We start from the raw sequence: 18,359 nt of genomic DNA on the forward strand, positions 1-18,359 counted from the left end.
TGGTTCCAGAATCCCCCATGGGTACCAAAATCCCTGGATGCTCAAGTCCCTAATATAAAATGGTGTAGTATTTGCATATAACCTACGCACATCCTTCTGTACACTTTAGATAATCTCTAGATTACTTGTAATACCTAATTCAATGTAAATGCTGTTCCAGACCAGCCTGGGCAACATAGTGAGACCCCATCTCCACTAAAGAAAAATTTACAAAAAAAAAAAAAAGATAATGGCCGGGTGTGGTGGCTTACCCCTGTAATTCCAGCACTGTGGGAGGTCGAGGCAGGCAGAGCACTTGAGGTCAGGAGTTTGAGACCAGCCTGGCCAACATGGCGAAACTCTGTCTCTAATAAAAATACAAAATAATTAGCCAAGCGTGGAGGCATGTGCCATCACAGAGTGATACCCTGTCTTAAAAAAAAAAAAAAAGAAAGAAAAAGAAAAATTGAGCCAGCCACGGTGGTGCTCACCTGTAATCCCAGCTACTTGGGAGGCTGAGGTGGGAGGATCACTTGAACCTGGGAGGCGGAGGCTGCAATGAGCTGAGATCGCACCAATGTACTCCAGTCTGGGCAACAGAGCAACGCTTGGTCTCGAAAATAAATAAATCAATAAATATAGTTGTTAGATTGTATTTTTAAGGTGTTTATTTTTTATTGTTGTATTGTTATTTTAAGAAATATTTTCCATCCCTGGGTGATTGAATCCATAGATGCAGAACAAGCAGCTATGAGGGGCTGAGAGTGTGTGTGTGTGTGTGTGTGTGTGTGTGTATACATAATTTATTAATTACATATAAAAAAATCTCCTACTGGTTTTGTTTCTCTGGAGAACCCCCAACTAATACAGTACTAGTTATGCCTCTCCCAGCTAAGGTCCCAGGAAGTACAATTCTACCCATTACCCTTAAGACATCACAGATGATCGGTCAGTACTAATAAGTGCTGTACGGTTATTGGACAGATTCGAGTTAACGTATGGAGAACAGGCAGGGTGCAAAGTGCATCCTGGCGTAGACCCCAGCTCTGCCAGGCACTAGCTCTGTAGGCTCTTGAACAACTTCCTTACCTCCCTGTGCCTTGTTTTCTTTTTTTTTTTTTCCCGAGACGGAGTCTCTCTCTGTTGCCCAGGCTGGAGTGCAGTGGCAGGATCTTGGCTCACCACAACCTCCACCTCCCGGGTTTGAGCAATTCCCCTGCCTCAGCCTCCTGAGTAGCTGGGATTACAGTTGTGTGCCATCACGCCTGGCTAATTTTTGTATTTTTAGTAGAGACGGGGTTTCACTATGTTGGCCAGGCTGGTCTCGAACTCCTTACCTCACAATGCGCCCTCCTCGGCCTCCCAAAGTGCTGGGATTATAAGTGTGCGCCACCGCACCCGGCCCTTGGTTTTCTATTCTGTAAAACGGAAGTGACCCGGTGGAGATAAAGGGGTAAATGCAGAGAATGAACTCAGAACATGCCGGTCGCCTTGGCAGTGCTCGCTAAGTGTTTGCATTTTTTTCCCTCCCTGTAACCGCTAGACCACCACGGAACTTGCATTTTTTGCTACTGGATGACAGGTCTTCCTCCTCTCCCAGGGTGGCTGTCTGGCAGGTTTCCCCACTTCCTGCAGTCTTCTCTGCCCTAGGGGACCAGTAGCCATGTTTCTGCCCCAACAAGTAACCTCCTTGCCCTGTCCTGGCTCCCGGGATCCTTCCTCTGGTGGTCTGCACGGGCCACGGCGCTCAGGGTGCCGCAGCGGCAAAGTGGGCAGTGGTCGCCCGTGTTCCAGGGAAGGAGGAGGGTGAGGGCGCCTGACCTCAGAGACCCCCAGAAGGTATCTGTGGGGGCACAGATGACCAGGAGCCCTGGAGTTAGTTCCATTTGCTGGCTGTGACCTTGGAAAGCCAGCAATGATTCAGGACCGGCTGCACAATTTGTGCAAAATGAAAATGTGGGGCCTCTTGTCCAAAAAGTATTACGAATTTCAAAACAGCCACAGCAGAGCACCACGCCGAGCAAGGGCCCTTCTCAGTACAGACCCTGAGCCTCCCGAGAGTGTGAGTGCTGGGGAAATCTGGGGAAAGAGGCCAAGGCTGTCCAGAGCCGAGCCCCTCCCTGGGGATTGTGTCTGGGGCCCGCAAACTCCCCAGGCGGAGGGAAGAGCCAGTCCTCCGGAGACGCTGGGCACCGAGCCTCCTCCAGGCCCGGAGAACGAGCCTGTAGCCTGTCGCTGTTTGCTGAGGGCCCTGACCTCTGTGGGAACACACAGGAAGTGGTTCATTTTCTCCCCACCAGTGACTCACTCCCGTCAGCCCTGCCCTTTCCAATCTCTGCTTCCTGTCCCTTAGCCTCAGCTTGGGTAATTCTGGGCAATAGAAAGGCCAGTCTGGTTGAGTCTGAAACTGCCATCTCACATGCAATTTCGCACTCATCTTGTCCCCCACTGAAGGGCTGGCTTAGCCTTGGCCGGAGAGCCCTGGAGAAGGAGGGGAGAGGTCGGGGGGACTGGCTGCGGTCCTTCCTCTTTCTCCTGGCTTCTGGGGTTGGGAGGGGAAGAGGAGGAAGAGGAGGAGGAGGAGAAGGTCTGGAGTGTCGGCACAATAGTAATATCAATAACAATAGCAGCTAATATTTACTGCAAGTGGTTCTCTGGGTCTGGAGATGCTCCAAGCACTTTTCTGACCGTAAGTTATGGCATTAAGTTTTGTAACTAGGAGGTAGGTCCTGTAATAAGGTCCTGTTGTAATTCCCATTTTTCTCTGTTGAGGAAACAGGCTGAGACAAGGTAGGTAATGTGCCCAAGGCCACAAAATTAGGAGGTGGCAGAGTCAGGATTGGAACCCAAGGTCTTCCTGATTCCACATCCGTTGCCCAGTCACTCCACTGCCTCACTTTCGCAAGAGTCCATATAAAGTTCCTGAGGTTGGGGCCTGGGACCTGTGGCAAGGTAAGTGTCCAGGGATTCAGCTAAGATGAGGCTTACACTTTTTTTTTTTTTGATAGAGTCTCTCTCTGTTGCCCAGGCTGGAGTGCAGTGGCAAGATCTCAGCTCACTACAACCTCTGCCTCCTAGGTTCAAATGATTCTCCCACCTCAGCCTCCCGAGTAGTTGTGACTACAGGCATGTGCCACCACGCTTGGCTAATTTTTCTATTTTTTGGTAGAGACGGGGTTTCACTGTCGGCCAGGCTGGTCTCAAACTCCTGACCTCAAGTTATCACCCCGCCTCGGCCTCCTGAAGTGTTGGGATTACAGGCGTGAGCCACTGCGCCCGGCCTGAGATGAAGCTTATTGAGGGTACTGAGAAAGATTTTTGACTCAATTTCTGAACCTTGTGAATTCTCACAGCACTTAACAGTAAGGAATTATCTGATATTTACATGCTTGTTATCTGCTTTCCTCATTAGGATGCAAACTTCATAAAACCATTTTGTTCATCTCTTCCTGATACCTGGTATGCGCTCACTAAATGCTTGGGAACGTGAATGAATGAATGAAACGTCTTCTGACGTGATCCTTGTATCTACATCTCCTTGCTGCGGCCAAGTCTCAGGTGCACCCTGAGCTCAGTGGTGGTCTTGCCTTTGCCCAGAGTGGGATGGGGTCCAGGTGGGGTGTCCCAAGCAGCCTGAAGAACATGACTCGAAATTCCCATCTGTGACCACCAGGTGTCGCTCATGCCACACAAGGAAACCCATAGATGGCCTCTGCTGAATTAGGGGTGCAGCGGGTGGGGAAATCTCATCTGTGACCACAGATGAGTTATCCAGGCTGCCATTTGTTCTCATTAGGTCCTGGATTTCCTCCTCAGAACCAGACAGATGTGATCAGCATTGTGGGCCGAGGGCCGGCACCTCCCCACCTCCCCGGCTATGGGTAGCTGTAGGGTGTCAGGGAGGGGATGCTGGGGTTCAGGCCCCGGATTCCATCCAGCTGCAGCCGTGTCACTGCCACTCCTCCTGCCCCCAAGCTTTGGCCTTGGCTGCCCAGGTAAGGCTGGCCCGGCACAGCCATTCATCAGTGTCAGCCGCCAGATGCCCCTCACAGGGCTCCCGTCCTCCGGGAACACTCCCAGGCCCCTAGCAACAAACTCAGCTTCCTGCCCTCATGGCACCGGCATCTTCCCCACTCCTTTTGCCGGGGTCTAAGTTTGGGGTGCATGCTTCCAGCCCCAGGAGCCCCCTCAATATCACACTGAGGTTGACTTGGCCATTTCTGCTTTCAGCCAACATAACCGGGTTCTAGAAGCTTCCTGACCGCTGTGGGAGGGTCACTTGGCCAGCAGGCAAGCGTTTCTTATTCCATGTACTTGAGTGAAGCAAAACCAGGGCTGTGTTTTTTTCCTTTTTTTTTTCTTTCTTTTTTTTTTTGAAACCAAGTCTCTCTGTCGCCCAGGCTGGAGATAACAGGTGCCCACCACCACGCTCAGCTAATTTTTGTATTTTTAGTAGAGATAAGGTTTCACCATGTTGGTAAGGCTGGTCTTGAACTGCTGATCTCAAGTGAACCACATGCCTTGGCCTCCCAAAGTGCTGGGATTACAGGTGTGAGCCACCACGCCTGGCCCTTTTTTCTTTTATTTGAGACAGGGTCTCGCTTTGTTGCCCAGGCTGGAGTGCAGTGGTGGGATCACAGCTCATTGCAGCCTCAACCTCCAGGGCGCAAGCGGTCCTCTCACCTCAGCCTCTTGAGTAGCTGGGACCAGAGGTGCTTGACACCACACCTGACTCATTAATTTTTTATATTTTTTGTAGAGACGGGGTTTTGCCATATTGCTCAGGCTGGTCTTGAACTCCTGAGCTCAAAGGATCCTCCTACCTTAGCCTCCCAAAGTGCTGGGATTACAGGTATGAGCCACTGTACCCGGCTAGGACTGTGTTTTTCTGTGACCCAACCTAATCGTTATTTCCAGCCCCTTTTCAGACTGATGATGGAAAATGTCATCTTGGCCAATTCCAGATGAACTTGGTCATTTAAGCTCAATTCTGAGCATTCCTTTGCTCACCTGGCGTGGCAGGTATGCTCTAGGGGGTGGTATAAACTTATGGCCCTGGGGAGGCTCCAGTTCCCCCTCCAACACAGATGTCTCCTGGAGGGACATTGTCATGTGCCATCCCCCACCCTCCATGCTGGTTATCCCAGAGGTGCCTGGTTCTCTGTGGAGGGCATTTTCTCTGCATCTTGCTAGCAGTCCCTGACTAATTTCCCGGCCTCACATCCTCCCGTGCTCCCATGGGGGCCATGGGAGACTTGGGGACCGTCTTTCTTGGACCCCTGCCAGGTGCCTTCTGTGTTAGTGAGATGTGCCCTTCCCTGGGTGGAAGGTTGACTTCCCATTCCCTGGGTTGGCTTCCCATTTCCCTGGGTGCCATCTGTGCCAGTTTGTTCTTGCATTGCTATAAAGGAGTACCTGAGACTGGGTAATTGATAAAGAAAAGGGGTTTAATTGGCTCACAGTTCTGCAGGCTGTATAGGAAGTGCGGTGCTGCCTTCTGCTTCTAGTGAGGTCTCCGGAAGCTTCCAATCATGGCGGAAGGTACAGGCGGCAGGAGTGAGAGAGAGAAGGGGGAGGCCCCAGACTCTTAAACGACCAGAGCTCTTAAACCCAGATTCTTAAACAACCAGATCTCATGTAAACTGAGCAAAAACTCACTCATCACCAAGCGAATGTGGCTAAGCCACTCGTGAGGGGTCTGCCTGCCGTGATCCAACACCTCCCACCAGGCCCTGCCTCCAACACTGGGGATCACATTCCAACATGAGATTTGGAGGGACACACATCCAAACCATATCACCACCTATCTCCAGGTATCCAGCACATGTGGGCTTCCTCCTCCCCTGCAGCCTGGGGGTGGGGTACTACATTTTCCTTTATAACATAGTGGTCACAATTTTGCGTTCTTTTCTTCCTGTTAAATGCCTCTCTCTCTCTCTCTCTCTCTCTCTATATATATATATATATAGATAGATAGATAGATAGATATTTTTTTTTTTAGATGGAGTCTCGCTCTGTTGCCCAGGTTGGAGTACAGTGGTGTGATCTCAGCTCACTGCAATCTTCGCCTCCCGGGTTCAAGCAATTCTCCTGCCTCAGCCTCCCAAGTAGCTGGGATTACAGGCAAGCACCACCATGCACAGCTAATTTTTGTATTTTTAGTAGAGACGGGGTTTCACCATGTTGGCCAGGCTGGTTTCAAACTCCTGAGCTTAGGTGATCCACTTGCGTCAGACTCCCAAAGTGCTGGGATTAAAGGTGTGAGCCACTGTGCCCAGCCTATAAATATTCATATATATACACACACACACACACACACACACACATATATATGTATATACATGTAAAATTTTTTTTTTGAGACAGAATCTTGCTCTGTTGCCCAGGCTGGAGTGCAGTGGTGCAATCCCAGCTAACTGCTTTCTGTGTTCAAGCGATTCTCCCGCCTCAGCCTCCTGAATAGCTAGGATTACAGGCATGTGCCACCATACCATGCTAATTTTTGTATTTTTAGTAGAGGAGGGGTTTTGCCATGTGGGCCAGGCTGGTCTGGAACAGTTGACTTCAGGCGATCCACCTGCCTTGGCCTCCCACAGTGCTGAGATTACAGGTGTGAGCCACTGCGACCAGCCTAATTTTTGTATTTTCAGCAGAGACAGGGTTTCACCATATTGGCCAGGCTTGTCTCAAACTCCTAACCTCAAGTGATCTGCCCGCCTTGGCCTCCCAAAATGCTGGGATTACAGGTGTGAGCCACTGTGCTGGCCTATTTATATTTTTAATTAAAAAAATTTTTTTGAAACAGGATCTCACTCTGTCATCCAGGGTGGAGTACAGTGGCGCAGTCACAGCTCACTGCAGCCTCTACCTCCTGGGCTCAAGTGATCCACCCACCTCAGCCTCCCAAGTGGCTGGGACTACAGGTGTTCACCACCACACCTGGCTAATTTTATTTTGACTTTTGTAGAGATGGGGGTCTCACTTTGTTGCCCAGGTTGATCTTGAACTCCTGGGCTCAAGTGATCCTCCTGCCTTGGCTTCTCAAACTGTTGGGATTACAGGTGTGAGCCACTGTGCCCAGCTATTTATATTACTTTAAATGGACAAATAGCAATTGATATGTTTATCATGTACAACACAATGTTTTGAAATACGCATACCTTGTAGAATGGTTCAATCAAGCAAATTAACATATGCATTCCTCCCATGCTTATTATTTTTTGTAGTGAGAACACTTAAAATCTGTCTACATGGTGAAACCTCATCTCTATTAAAAATAAAATACTCGATTGCATTTTCAAAATACAAGATGTCTCGATTTAAATAAGGGTTAAATCTTGTTTTCTCCACCTTATTTCCTAGTTCGCTAGCAAATGCTGCATTTGTTAATTAATTTAGGGCAATTCTTTCTTTCTGTAATTGACAAATAATAATTACGTCTATTTAAGGGGCACCGTGTGATGCTTCGATCCATGTATACGTCGTAGAATGATTAAACGCAGCGAATTAACATATCATAACCCTTAAAGCAGAGGCTTCCAGTTTCCTCTAGGGGATTCCCCATGTTCCATTCCAGTTCTGGTGGGGCCTTTCCAAGCCATACACAAACACATACACACGCGGATGTACCCCATGGAGTCACATACGAACGCACGTACACCACAGCCACGCATAGTCACAGGAGCATTGCAGGCACGCACGTGCACACACCCACCCACACACCCACCCACACACCCACCCAGGGGCATGGTCCTGTAACCCGGACCTCTTCACATCTTTGGCAACAGTAACGTGGCCCAAGGGGTAGGCCTATGTATTAGTCTGTTTTCACCCTGCTATAAAGAACTGCCTGAGACTGGGTGATTTATAAAGGAAAAGAGGTTGAATTGACTCACAGTTCAGCATGGCTGGGAGGCCTCAAGAAACTTACAATCATGATGGAAGGTGAAGAGGAAGCAAGGACCTTCTTCATAAAGTGGCAGGAGGGTGAAGTGCTGAGTGAAGCGGGAAGAGCCCCTTGTAAAACCATCAGATCTCCTGAAAACTCAGCCACTCTCACGAGAACAGCTTGGGGGAAATCTATCCCCGTGACTCAATGACCTCCACTTGGTCTCTCCCATGACTCAGTGGAGATTATGGGGATTACAGTTCAAGATGAGATTTGGGGCCGGGTGCGGTGGTTCACACCTGTAATCCCAGCACTTTGGGAGGCCGAAGTGGGCAGATCACTTGAGGTCAGGAGTTCGAGACCAGCCTGGCCAACATGGCGAAACCTTGTCTCTACTAAAAATACAAAAATTAGCCAGAAGTGATGGTGCGTGCCTGTAGTCCCAGCTACGTGGGAGGCTGTGGCAGGAGAATCGCTTGAACCCGAGAGGCAGAGGCTGCAGTGAGCCGAGATCACACCAGCCTGGGTGACAGAGCCAGACTCAGTCTCAAAGGAAAAAAAAAAAAGATGAGATTTGGGTGAGGCGCAAAGCCTCACCATATCAGTCTCCACCCAGGAGAGTCCACCCTGCCTGGAGGAGAAAGAGGGCGCTGGGCTGTGGTGGCCCCGTGTGTCCCAGTGGAGGGGTCTGTCTGCCATGGGCAGGAGTGCGCCCCCCCTGCACAGAGGGCTACAGCTCAGAGGCGAGGCGGGGATCGGACCTAGTGAGAGCTGAGCGCCTGGTCTGGGCCCTGTTGGGCTTGGTGAGCCACTCTGTGGCTTTTAGTGATACCTGAGCCAGCAGACCTTACCTCTGTGCGCCAGGGGTGCTTTGTGGGGTCCGATGCTGTTCACACCCTGCGTCCTCCCGTCCTGTCCGGGTCCCCCTTTCCCACGTGCACAAGGAGTGGCTGACGGTCTCCCAGGACTCCCCCACCACCCCCTACACACTCCACTTCAACTCTGCAAAGGCAGCACCCTTCCCTGGAGTGTGAGACCCTCCCTGCCTGCCCCTCTCTGCCTGAGCAGGACAGGAAGCTATTGAGCCCCTGTGAAGCTCTAGGCCAGGTGCCTGGAGTCAGCGATGAGTAAGAGGAGGCAGGGCCTGCAGCCCTCGGAGGCCCAGGACTTTAGGGAACTCATTAGAGAGACTCATTTCGTTACCTGTGTCACTTTGGTCATCTGGGAGGCAGACGTCAAGACAGAAGAAATGAGCAAGAGATTGATGAAACGCAATGCCCAAGCAGGATACAGGGAGAGGATGCAGGGTGGGCGGGGACCAACTTCCAACCGTGACGCAGGGCTTGTGTTTGCCAGAGGAGAAGAGGAAGGAAGGAGGGTTAAGTGGGAGGAGCCCCAGGCTGCAGTGCAGCTGTGAGAAAGTCCTCTCCAGGCCCACGGGGAGCTCTAGCAAGGTCCCGGGTGGGGCAGGAGCTGCCAGGCCCCAGGTGCTACTGCATTCCTGTGGAGGGTGACTCTGGGAGGGAAAGCAGAGCCGTGCACCTCCAGGGCCACCCCGACGGTGACACAAAGGCTGATGTGACACATGCATCAAAGCACTGACCAAATGCCGGGGCCGGTGGCTCACGCCTGTAATTCCAACACTTTGGGAGGCTGAGGCGGGTGGATCACCTGAGGTCAGGAGTTTGAGACCAGCGTGGCCAACATGGTGAAACCCCATCTCTACTAAAAATACACAAATTAGCAGGGCGTGGTGGTGCCTGCCTGCAGCCCCAGCCACGGGGAAGGCTGAGGCAGGAGGATCGCTTGGACCTGGGAGGCGGAGGTTGCAGTGAGATGAGATCGCACCACTGCACTCCATCCTAGGCAATGGACCGACCAAGGGACTGGGGTCAGGGAGCACCGACCAAGGGACTGGGGTCAGGGAGGCTTCCTGGAGAGGGCTGACACCTGAGACATTTCCAGTGTAAAGGAGATGGGGGCTGAGTGTCAGAGGCCAGGGCTTATGCAGGGCCCCGAGGTGGATCATCTCTCTGGGACTGGATGAGGACAGCATCACAGGCGCAAGTTGAGGGCAGGACTCATGGCTTGCGGGCGCAGTGAACGTGACATGGGCCAGGCTTGCAGAGCCCGAGGGTTGTATTTGGGACTCTGGTCCTGTGTCCCAGCCCACTTTGATTCCAGTGGGCAGACCAGCTCAACCCAAACCCCTGCCACTGGCTGAACGCTCCCTGGGGCCCTGGGTCTACCACCTGCCTTGGGAATGCTGCCTGAGCTCTCTCTCTCTGGCATTCTGACCACTCCTGCCAGATACAGCTCGATCTGTGCCTTTGTTCTAGCACTGATTTTTGTTCCTGCATGGAGAGCAGGCTTGCCTGTCTCCACAGTTAGGCTGGGGCCATGGTGGGAGGGGATCTGCTTATTCATTGCCTGATTATTCATTTTGAGGTCTGGTAGAGTGGGATTCTCAGGGAATGGGTGCCTGCCCCAGGATGAGGTTCAAGAACCTTCTCTCCAGTGCAAGGTTTGGAGAAGGTCCAGGTGAGCAGGGGTCTGGGGTCTGAGTCCAGAGTGACCCTAAGCCAGCAGCATCCCCCAAGAGCTTATTAGAAACACAGATACTCAGGCCTCAAGCCCAGACCTGTAGAATCAAAATATACCTGGAGGTAGAGTCCAAGAATCCGCATGTTATGAACTTTCCTGATGATTCTTACACCCATCCAAGTTTGAGAAACACCAGTGGTCCAAGTTTGAGAAACACCAGTGGTCCAAGTTTGAGAAACACCACCGGTCTAGTGCAATCTCCTCACTCCACATGGGGTGGCGGTACTTGGGCTGAGGCTCACTCTGAGTCCCACACCCAGACGGTGGCTGAATGCAGACAGAGAGCACATCAGGCCTCTGGGCTGTGAGGAACACAGCCAGAGACTTCAGTAAAAAACGCATCTGGGGGACTAAACCTATGATTTGTGCAAAAACACCTGGGTGATTTTCATCATGAAATAGAGCTCATCCTTCTGGAAAAACAATCCACCCATCTGTTCGCAGTCAGAGGAGGATGTTCACGTAACACCAGATGCCGTGTTGGGTGCCATGGTAACAGCACGCTTCCGGCAAGATGGTCCTGCCCTGCACACAAATCCTGAAACAGACAAAAAATAATTTAAAAAAAAGCCATGTAAGTTGCCCATGCTCAGGCCTTGTTCTTGCTCTCCCCAGGATGTGTCCTTCCTCTCCTGTTTGTCAGACTCCTACTCACCCTTTGAAACCCAGCCCAGATGTTCCTTCCTTCCCATTTGCATGCATCAACTTCCTCACCCCATCCTTTTTTTTTTCTTTCTTTTTTGAGATGTTGTTTCGCTCTTGTTGCCCAGGCTGGAGTACAATGGCGCGATCTCGGCTCACTGCAACCTCTGCCTCCTGGGTTCAAGCAATTCTCCTGCCTCAGCCTCCCAAGTAGCTGGGATTACAGGCATGTGCCACCACGCCCGGGTAATTTTGTATTTTTATTAGAGTTGGGGTTTCACCATGTTGGTCAGGCTGGTCTCGAGCTCCTGACCTCAGATGATCCACCTACCTCGGCCTCCCAAAGTGCTGGGATTACAGGCGTGGGCCACCGCGCCCGGCCCACCCCATCCTTAAGTGTTCAGGACACTTGGCCTGTACCTTTGCTCTGGTGCTTATTTTTGTTTCTGCATGGAGGGCAGGCTCACCTGTCTCCCCAGTTAGGCTCTGGCCATGGCGAGAAGAGGTCTGATTATTCATCGCCTGATTATTCATTGTGAGGTCCAGTATAGCAAGGTTCTGAGGATATGTCAGCAGGGACTGAGGCTGAGAGACGCTGATCACAGTTCCGTCAGGGATGACCTCCTCTGTCCTGGCAAGAGGCCAGACTGGAGCGACACTTCAGTAGAGAGAAGCCAGGGCTTTCTTCCCGCAAAGTCAATGATGTCTGGTCTCAACTGTCGGAAACTCGGTCAGCAAGTTTATGCTGTGATGAGAACTGGAGCACCAAACTCTGTGATGTGCATATGTTGTGGGCAGTGGCGGGTGCTGTTATCATTCATGACTGTTCCCTTCCCTGCACCTCGAGTTTGGGCTTTGCTGAGAGATTGCTTTGGGCAGTGGGCTGTTGAGGGGGATGTAGCAGGAGCAGAGGCTTGACACGCACTTCTTAATGGGGCTTGCCTTCTTGCCCACCTCTTTTTCGCCATGAGAAGAACAGCCCTGGGCTAGCCTGCCAGGCCACAGGGCTGAGCCTCACCTGCAGTTTGGAGCCAAGCCCAGGGAGTCCAGTCTAAGTCATCAGGATGCAAGAAATACATACTGTTTTCTGCAGCTGAGGTTTTCGCGGCTGTTATGCAGCCAAAGCTGACTCATGTACAGGATCTAGACTGGCCTATGGAATTAGAAAATCCTTTCTGTTGTTTTCCTGTTTGCTCCTCCTGGCTTTAGCCACAGCCCTCTGATTTGCATATGGCCCAGGAGTCTCCTGGGAAGAAATTTAAACCCCATGTCCAACATGGTTTTAAACATGTGCAGATTGTCAGATGCGGTGGAGAGGTACGGGCCATGGAAGACAAGTGTAGGGAGGAGAAAAAAATCCCTCCACAACAACAACAACAAAAAAGAACTCACCATAACTAAGAGAAGAGTTGGGCATCATGGGAAAACTCAGGAAGAGCCTGCGGGAGATGAAACAATGTTTTTCATAATGACGGTAGATTGAAGTAGATTTTATTCTCCTCCATCCTTGCTTTATCTACTCTGTTCTGTGTGGGGGTAACATACAGGTCCTTTTGCTTTCTTCGGGGATGATACAGCCACCTGGCCAAAACTGATCAAACCCCTGCTTCTGTGGGAGGAAGACCCCCAAGAACCATCAGAGACCAAAGGCAGGTGGATGAGAATGTTGGGTGGGGACTTGGGAGGCCCCAAATGGTGATGTGTTGATGAGGGCAACCTGCCTGCCAGTCATCCTTTAGGGACTCAGAGGACCACAGGAGAAGGGAGGGTCAAAGTCACTTGGCTGTGTGAGCTTTTGATGCAAGCTTTCCTGGGCAGGCTGTCAACACAACTGCATATCTGTTCAGGCCACAACACTTTCATTCACAGTGACCATTTGTTTTGTTTTGTTTTGTGTTTTGCTTTTTGAGAAAGTCTCATTCTGACACCCAGGCTGGAGTGCAGTGGCACCATCGTGGCTCACTGCAGCCTCAAACTCCTGGGGCTCAAGTGATCCTCCTGCCTCAGCTTCCTGAGTAGCTGGGACCACAAGCTCACACCAGCAGCCCTGTCTAACTTTTAAATTTTTGTAGAGATGGGGTCTCCCTGTGTTGCCCAGCTGGTCTCAAACTCCTGGCCTCAAGTGATCCTCCCACTTTGGCCTCCCAAAGTGCTGGATTACAGGCGTGAGCCACTGCACCCGCCGACACAGCAACCTTCTCCTGTTGGAGTCCTTAATGTCCCACTTACAGATGATGAGGCAGGGGTGGGGTGTGGTGTGGGATTTGCCCACGGTACCACACCTGGGCATGGTGAGGCTGGACCTGGAGCAGGACTTTCAGATTGTGAGTCCAATGTGCTCCTTGACTCTCAGACAAGGACACAGGTTCAGGTGGTTTATTTGGGAGGTGACCCCAGGAACACCATAAAGACGTGAGAGCTGAGACAGGGCGGGAGGAAGGCTATTAAGGGTAAGACATGGAAGGCATGTGAACTTCCTTTTACTGCTGTAACAAATCACAACGGAGTGACTGAAAACAACCATAGTTTGTTTTCTTACTTTTCTAAAGGCCAGAAGCCCAAATTCAAGGTGTCTGCAGGCCCTTGTCCTCCTGGAAGCTCTAGGGGGATCCGTCCTGTCTCTTCCTGCTTCTGGAAGCTCCCAGCATTCCTTGGTTTGTGAATGCCTCGCTCCAATCTCTGCCCCCGTCATCACGCGACCTTCTTCCCCATGCATGGGTGCGACTGTGTCTTCACAGGATGTTCTCTCTGTGTGTCTGGGTCTAAATTTTCATCTTCATCTTCTTTTTTTTGAGACACAGTCTTACTCTGTCACCCAGGCTGGAGTGCAGTGATGCAATCTCGGCTGACCTCCCAGGATCACCTCCACCTCCCAGGATCAAGCGATTCTCCTGCCTCAGCCTCCTGAGTAGCTGGGATTACAAGCATGTGCCACCATGTCTGGCTAATTTTTATATTTTTAGTAGAGACAGGGTTTCACCATGTTGGTCAGGCTGGTCTCAAACTCCTGGCCTCAAGTGATCCGCCTGCCTCGGCCTCCCAAAGTGCTGGGATTACAGGCGTGAGCCACTGTGCCCGGTCAAGTTCCTTCTTCTGATAAGGACTCCATTCACCGGGCTAGGGCCCTTCCTACTCCAGTGTATCCTCATCTAACTAATTACATCTGCAATGATGCTATTTCCAAATAAAGTGATGTTTGCAGTTACCAATGGTTAGGACTTGCGCATATCTTTTGGGGAATATAATTCAACTCACAAGAGAAGGTTGTAGCTGCAGGCACTTGGGGCTCAGTCTTGGTGGCACCCCTCCCTCCAAGAGGCTGTGTGGAATGTGCTTGAGAATTGCCCCCGTGAGGCGTGAGGAGCTGCGGCATTGACCCGCCCCCTCCTGCCTGGAGGTGTCTCGGAGCCCTGGGATTTTCCTCCCAATGTGGCATTCACAGGCATCACATCACTATCTGGCCATCAGCCACGGTGGGAGTATTGACACCACAGACATCAGCGGATGTTACAAATCAGGCTTCTTTTTCCCCGTGAATCAGCCTCCTGTACCACTCCGGCCCCTCCCTGGTGCAGGAGCAGTGCAGTGAGCTGATTCATGCGGAGAAAGATTGGTCTGGCCTGCCCCGTGAACGGTCTGTGTGTGGTCCTGGCCTGAGGACACCCCAGCGGGCTCATGTGGGGACTGCCTGCAGGTAACCTCTAGACTTGGCTGAGCACCAAGAGTGTTGGCCATAGGGGACCAGGCAGGTGGACGCCTGGGGGCAGCTGCTGGCTTCCCAGCGGGGCGCTGCCTGAGGCCCGGTTTGCCCAGAGAAGTGAGCAGCCAGCTGTGGCCCGGCAGAGTCCCAGGCCGTGCTGACAGGTGTGGCCAAAGGGCAAAGGGTGTTATTATAAAAGAGAATTTACGGCAGCGGCAGCTTGGGCTGGCTGAGCCCACGGGCAGCAGGAGGATGGAGTGGGGCTGGCAGGATGCTGGCAGGATGAAGGATCTGCATTTCATTGAGACAGTGGGTTGGAGTCCACGCGGCTGAGATTAAATAGCCCGTCCCCGGAATGCAGAGAGCCAGAGATAAATCAGACTTTACTGCAAGTGGGGTGGCAGGGAGTTAATTAGGAAAGAGAAAAAAAAATACATTTCAACTCACAAAGAAGCCCAGTGAGCCAGCAGAGAATAGCCCGGCCCCTCCAGGGGTCACTTTGGGGAGGGGCTGGCATCCCTGGTCCCACCAAAGGGCACACAGGACTGGGAAGGATGTCACCTTGGAAGTGTCAGGGCCCAGTGCAAGAGGGTGAGAATGCTGGCTGCCCCGTGGAGCTGTGCCCGGGCTGTGCCCCGGCTGGTCTTGGCCTGGGCCCTGCCAGTGAGGTGAGCTGGGTCCTGAACTTCCAGGTTGGGGACCAGGTCCTGGAATTGCATCCTGGTGCAGGAGCAGGCATCGCAGGTCACATTCAATGAGTGCTCAGAAATACTCACGGAGGACCGGGCGCGGTGGCTCACGCCTGTAATCCCAGCACTATGGGAAGTTGAGGTGAGTGGATCACTTGAGGTCAGGAGTTCCAGACCAGCCTGGCCAACATGGTGAAACCCCATCTCTACCAAAACCAGAAAAATTAGCTGGGTGTGGTGGTGGGCACCTGTAATCCCACCTACTTGGGAGGCTGAGTGGGGAGGATTGCTTGAGTCCAGGAGGCAGAGGTTGCAGTGAGCCAAGTCATACCACTGCACTCCAGCATGGGAGACAGAGCGAGACTCCATCTCAATAATAACAATAAAAAAAAAAAGAAATACTCACGGAGGGAGCCCTTTACCCTAAGCCCCCCAGGTTCACCTCTTGCCATGCCCCACCCAGCCAATTGACCCCCAGCACCTTCCTTTTTCGTCTCCTCTCTGCCTCTTGCCTTTACTTGCGAGGGGACCCCTGTATGAACATCTGCCTCACTTTCTCCCAGCCATCGTTCAAAGTCCAGTTCTATTTATTTTCTTTCTTTTTTATTTTCTTACAAGACAGGGTCTTGCTCTGTTGCCCAGGCTAGAGTGCAGTGGTGCAATCATAGCTCATTGTAGCCTGGAATTCCTGAGCTCAAGTGATCCTCCCACCTCAGCCTCTTGAGTAGCTGGGACTACAGGCACGTGCCACCATGTCCGCCCGCATAATCTTTTTTTTTCTTTCTTTTTTTTTGAGACAGAGTTTTGCTCTGTTGCCCAGGCTGGAGTGCAGTGGCACGATCTCGGCTCACTGCAGCCTCTGCCTCCCAGGTTCAAGCGATTATCCTGCCTCAGCCTCCCAAGTAGCTGGGATTACAGGAGCATGCTACCACACCTGGCTAATTTTTTTGTATTTTTAGTAGAGACAGGAATTCACCATGTTGGCCAAGCTGGTGTCGAACTCCTGACCTCAAGTGATCCACCTGCCTGGGCCTCCCAAAGTGCTAGGATTACAGGCGTGAACCACCATGCCCAGTCCCGGCTAACGTTTTCGTATTTTTGTAGAGATGGGGTTTCACCATGTTGCCCAGGCTTGTCTCAAACTCCTGGCCTCAGGCGATCCTCCTGCCTCGGCCTCCCGAAGTGCTGGGATTACTGATGTGAACCACTGCACCCGAACTCTATTTCCAACTTTTATTTAATTCATGCATTCATTCCACATCACTTACTGAACTCCTACTCTCTGCTGGGCCCTGCTGGAGGATCTATACCCAAGACCAGCCTCTGCTCTTCATGAATTTACAGCTTAGTGCTGTCCAGGGTAGGGGTACAGATGTGTGAACAGGTGGTCCTAGGATGAGTGGGGGATGTTGTTCATGGAGGAAGTACGGGGTTTTGGGCACCAGAAGATGGTGATCTGGCCTTTTTTTGTGGTGGGGGTGGGTGCAGTAAAAAATGTTCTGAAGTCAAAGTTGCTTAGAACATCAAGGCACACAGCCTGGCTGTGGGTCCCTGCAATGCCCTGGGGCAGCTGTCCTTCGTTTTTTTCCTTTTTTTCTTTTTTTCTTTTTTTTGTTGAGACGGAGTCTCACTCTTGTCACCTAGGCTGGAGTGCAATGGTGCAATCTTGGTTCACTGCAACCTCTATCTCCCAGGTTTAAGCTTCTCCTGCCTCAGCCTCCTGAGTAGCTGGGATTACAGGCGCCCATTACCATGCCTGGCTAATTTTTGTACTTTTAGTAGAGATGGGGTTTTACCATGTTGGCCAGGCTGGTCTCGAACTCCTGACCTCAGGTGATCTGCCCGCCTCGGCCTCCGGAAGTGCTGGGATTACAAGCATGAGTCACCGCACCCGGCCGGTCCATTGCTTTTTAGTGCCCCCTCTTGATGTGGACCGGTCTGTGAAAGAGGAGCCAGCACTAGAGGGTCCCTCGTGGCCAATTCCACCTTGATCTGGGAAGCAACACAGGCTGCAGCTGGCCTCTTCAAAGGGGCAGGAAGTGTAAGCTGCCTGTGTTTCCGGGAGCGGGGCCCCTAGTTAGATGTGCACGGGCAAACGCTACCATGGCTGAGTTTGAAAGGAGTAGGAACTGGCCTGACATGGGAGAGGGGTGGCCCATCAGAGGCAGGGAAGCAGGGTAGCAGAGTGCTCATTGTCACTGGAATGTGTGTGTGTGTGTGGACGCACGTGTGCATCCGTGTGACTTGAGTGTGTTTGCACATGTATATGTGTGGCTGTGTGCATGCCAGAGTGAAGCACAGGTGTGTAGTCCATGGATATGTGTGTCATGGGAGTGTGCATGTATCTGTGCCTGACTCGAGTGCATTTGCACGTGCATGTGTGTGTGAACGTGTGTGTGCATGTGGACATATGTGACCATGTGCATGTGTGCATGCCTGTGAGCAGCACATATGTGTATATGCACGTGTGTGTGAAAGTGCATGTGTGTATCTGTGCATAACTCGAGTGCATTTGCACATGCACATGTGTGTATGTCTGTGCATATGGGCATATGTGGTGTGTGCATGTGTTCATGCCTGTGTGCAGCACTTATGTGTATATGAACATATGTGTGAGTGTGCGTGTGTGTATCTGTGCATGACTGGAGTGCATTTGCATGTGCACGCGCATGTGTGTGAATGTGTATGTGCATGTGGACATATGTGACCATGTGCATGTATGCATGCCTGTGTGCAGCACACAAGTCTAATTGTACATGTCTATGTGTGCCTGTGAGTGTGCATGTATCTGTGCATGACTTGAGTGCATTTGCATGTGCATATGTATGTGTGTGTGCCTATGGGCATATGTGGTATG

At 51.6% G+C, this 18,359-nt stretch overlaps 7 annotated features.

The window, feature by feature from the left end:
* Positions 861-1,507: an enhancer, noted in NCBI's record as "H3K27ac-H3K4me1 hESC enhancer chr7:2902048-2902694 (GRCh37/hg19 assembly coordinates)". NCBI's record gives its function as "activates a minimal SCP1, AML or CMV promoter by ChIP-STARR-seq in naive H9 embryonic stem cells {active_cell/tissue: H9 hESC(naive)}" and the evidence as "EXISTENCE:reporter gene assay evidence [ECO:0000049][PMID:30033119]".
* Positions 2,156-2,285: an enhancer, noted in NCBI's record as "active region_25555". NCBI's record gives its function as "activates an Ori minimal core promoter by ATAC-STARR-seq in GM12878 lymphoblastoid cells {active_cell/tissue: GM12878}" and the evidence as "EXISTENCE:reporter gene assay evidence [ECO:0000049][PMID:35858748]".
* Positions 3,063-3,142: a silencer, noted in NCBI's record as "silent region_17888". NCBI's record gives its function as "represses an Ori minimal core promoter by ATAC-STARR-seq in GM12878 lymphoblastoid cells {active_cell/tissue: GM12878}" and the evidence as "EXISTENCE:reporter gene assay evidence [ECO:0000049][PMID:35858748]".
* Positions 7,893-8,097: a silencer, noted in NCBI's record as "fragment chr7:2909080-2909284 (GRCh37/hg19 assembly coordinates)". NCBI's record gives its function as "represses an EF-1alpha promoter that drives an FKBP-Casp9 reporter gene in an ReSE screen in K562 erythroleukemia cells {active_cell/tissue: K562}" and the evidence as "EXISTENCE:reporter gene assay evidence [ECO:0000049][PMID:32094911]".
* Positions 9,045-9,264: a silencer, noted in NCBI's record as "fragment chr7:2910232-2910451 (GRCh37/hg19 assembly coordinates)". NCBI's record gives its function as "represses an EF-1alpha promoter that drives an FKBP-Casp9 reporter gene in an ReSE screen in phorbol 12-myristate 13-acetate-treated (for megakaryocytic differentiation) K562 erythroleukemia cells {active_cell/tissue: K562(+PMA)}" and the evidence as "EXISTENCE:reporter gene assay evidence [ECO:0000049][PMID:32094911]".
* Positions 10,071-10,722: an enhancer, noted in NCBI's record as "H3K27ac-H3K4me1 hESC enhancer chr7:2911258-2911909 (GRCh37/hg19 assembly coordinates)". NCBI's record gives its function as "activates a minimal SCP1, AML or CMV promoter by ChIP-STARR-seq in naive H9 embryonic stem cells {active_cell/tissue: H9 hESC(naive)}" and the evidence as "EXISTENCE:reporter gene assay evidence [ECO:0000049][PMID:30033119]".
* Positions 12,554-13,134: an enhancer, noted in NCBI's record as "NANOG-H3K27ac-H3K4me1 hESC enhancer chr7:2913741-2914321 (GRCh37/hg19 assembly coordinates)". NCBI's record gives its function as "activates a minimal SCP1, AML or CMV promoter by ChIP-STARR-seq in naive H9 embryonic stem cells {active_cell/tissue: H9 hESC(naive)}" and the evidence as "EXISTENCE:reporter gene assay evidence [ECO:0000049][PMID:30033119]".

Source organism: Homo sapiens, chromosome 7 (genome assembly GCF_000001405.40).
Source record: "Homo sapiens chromosome 7, GRCh38.p14 Primary Assembly".
Taxonomy (NCBI): domain Eukaryota; kingdom Metazoa; phylum Chordata; class Mammalia; order Primates; family Hominidae; genus Homo; species Homo sapiens.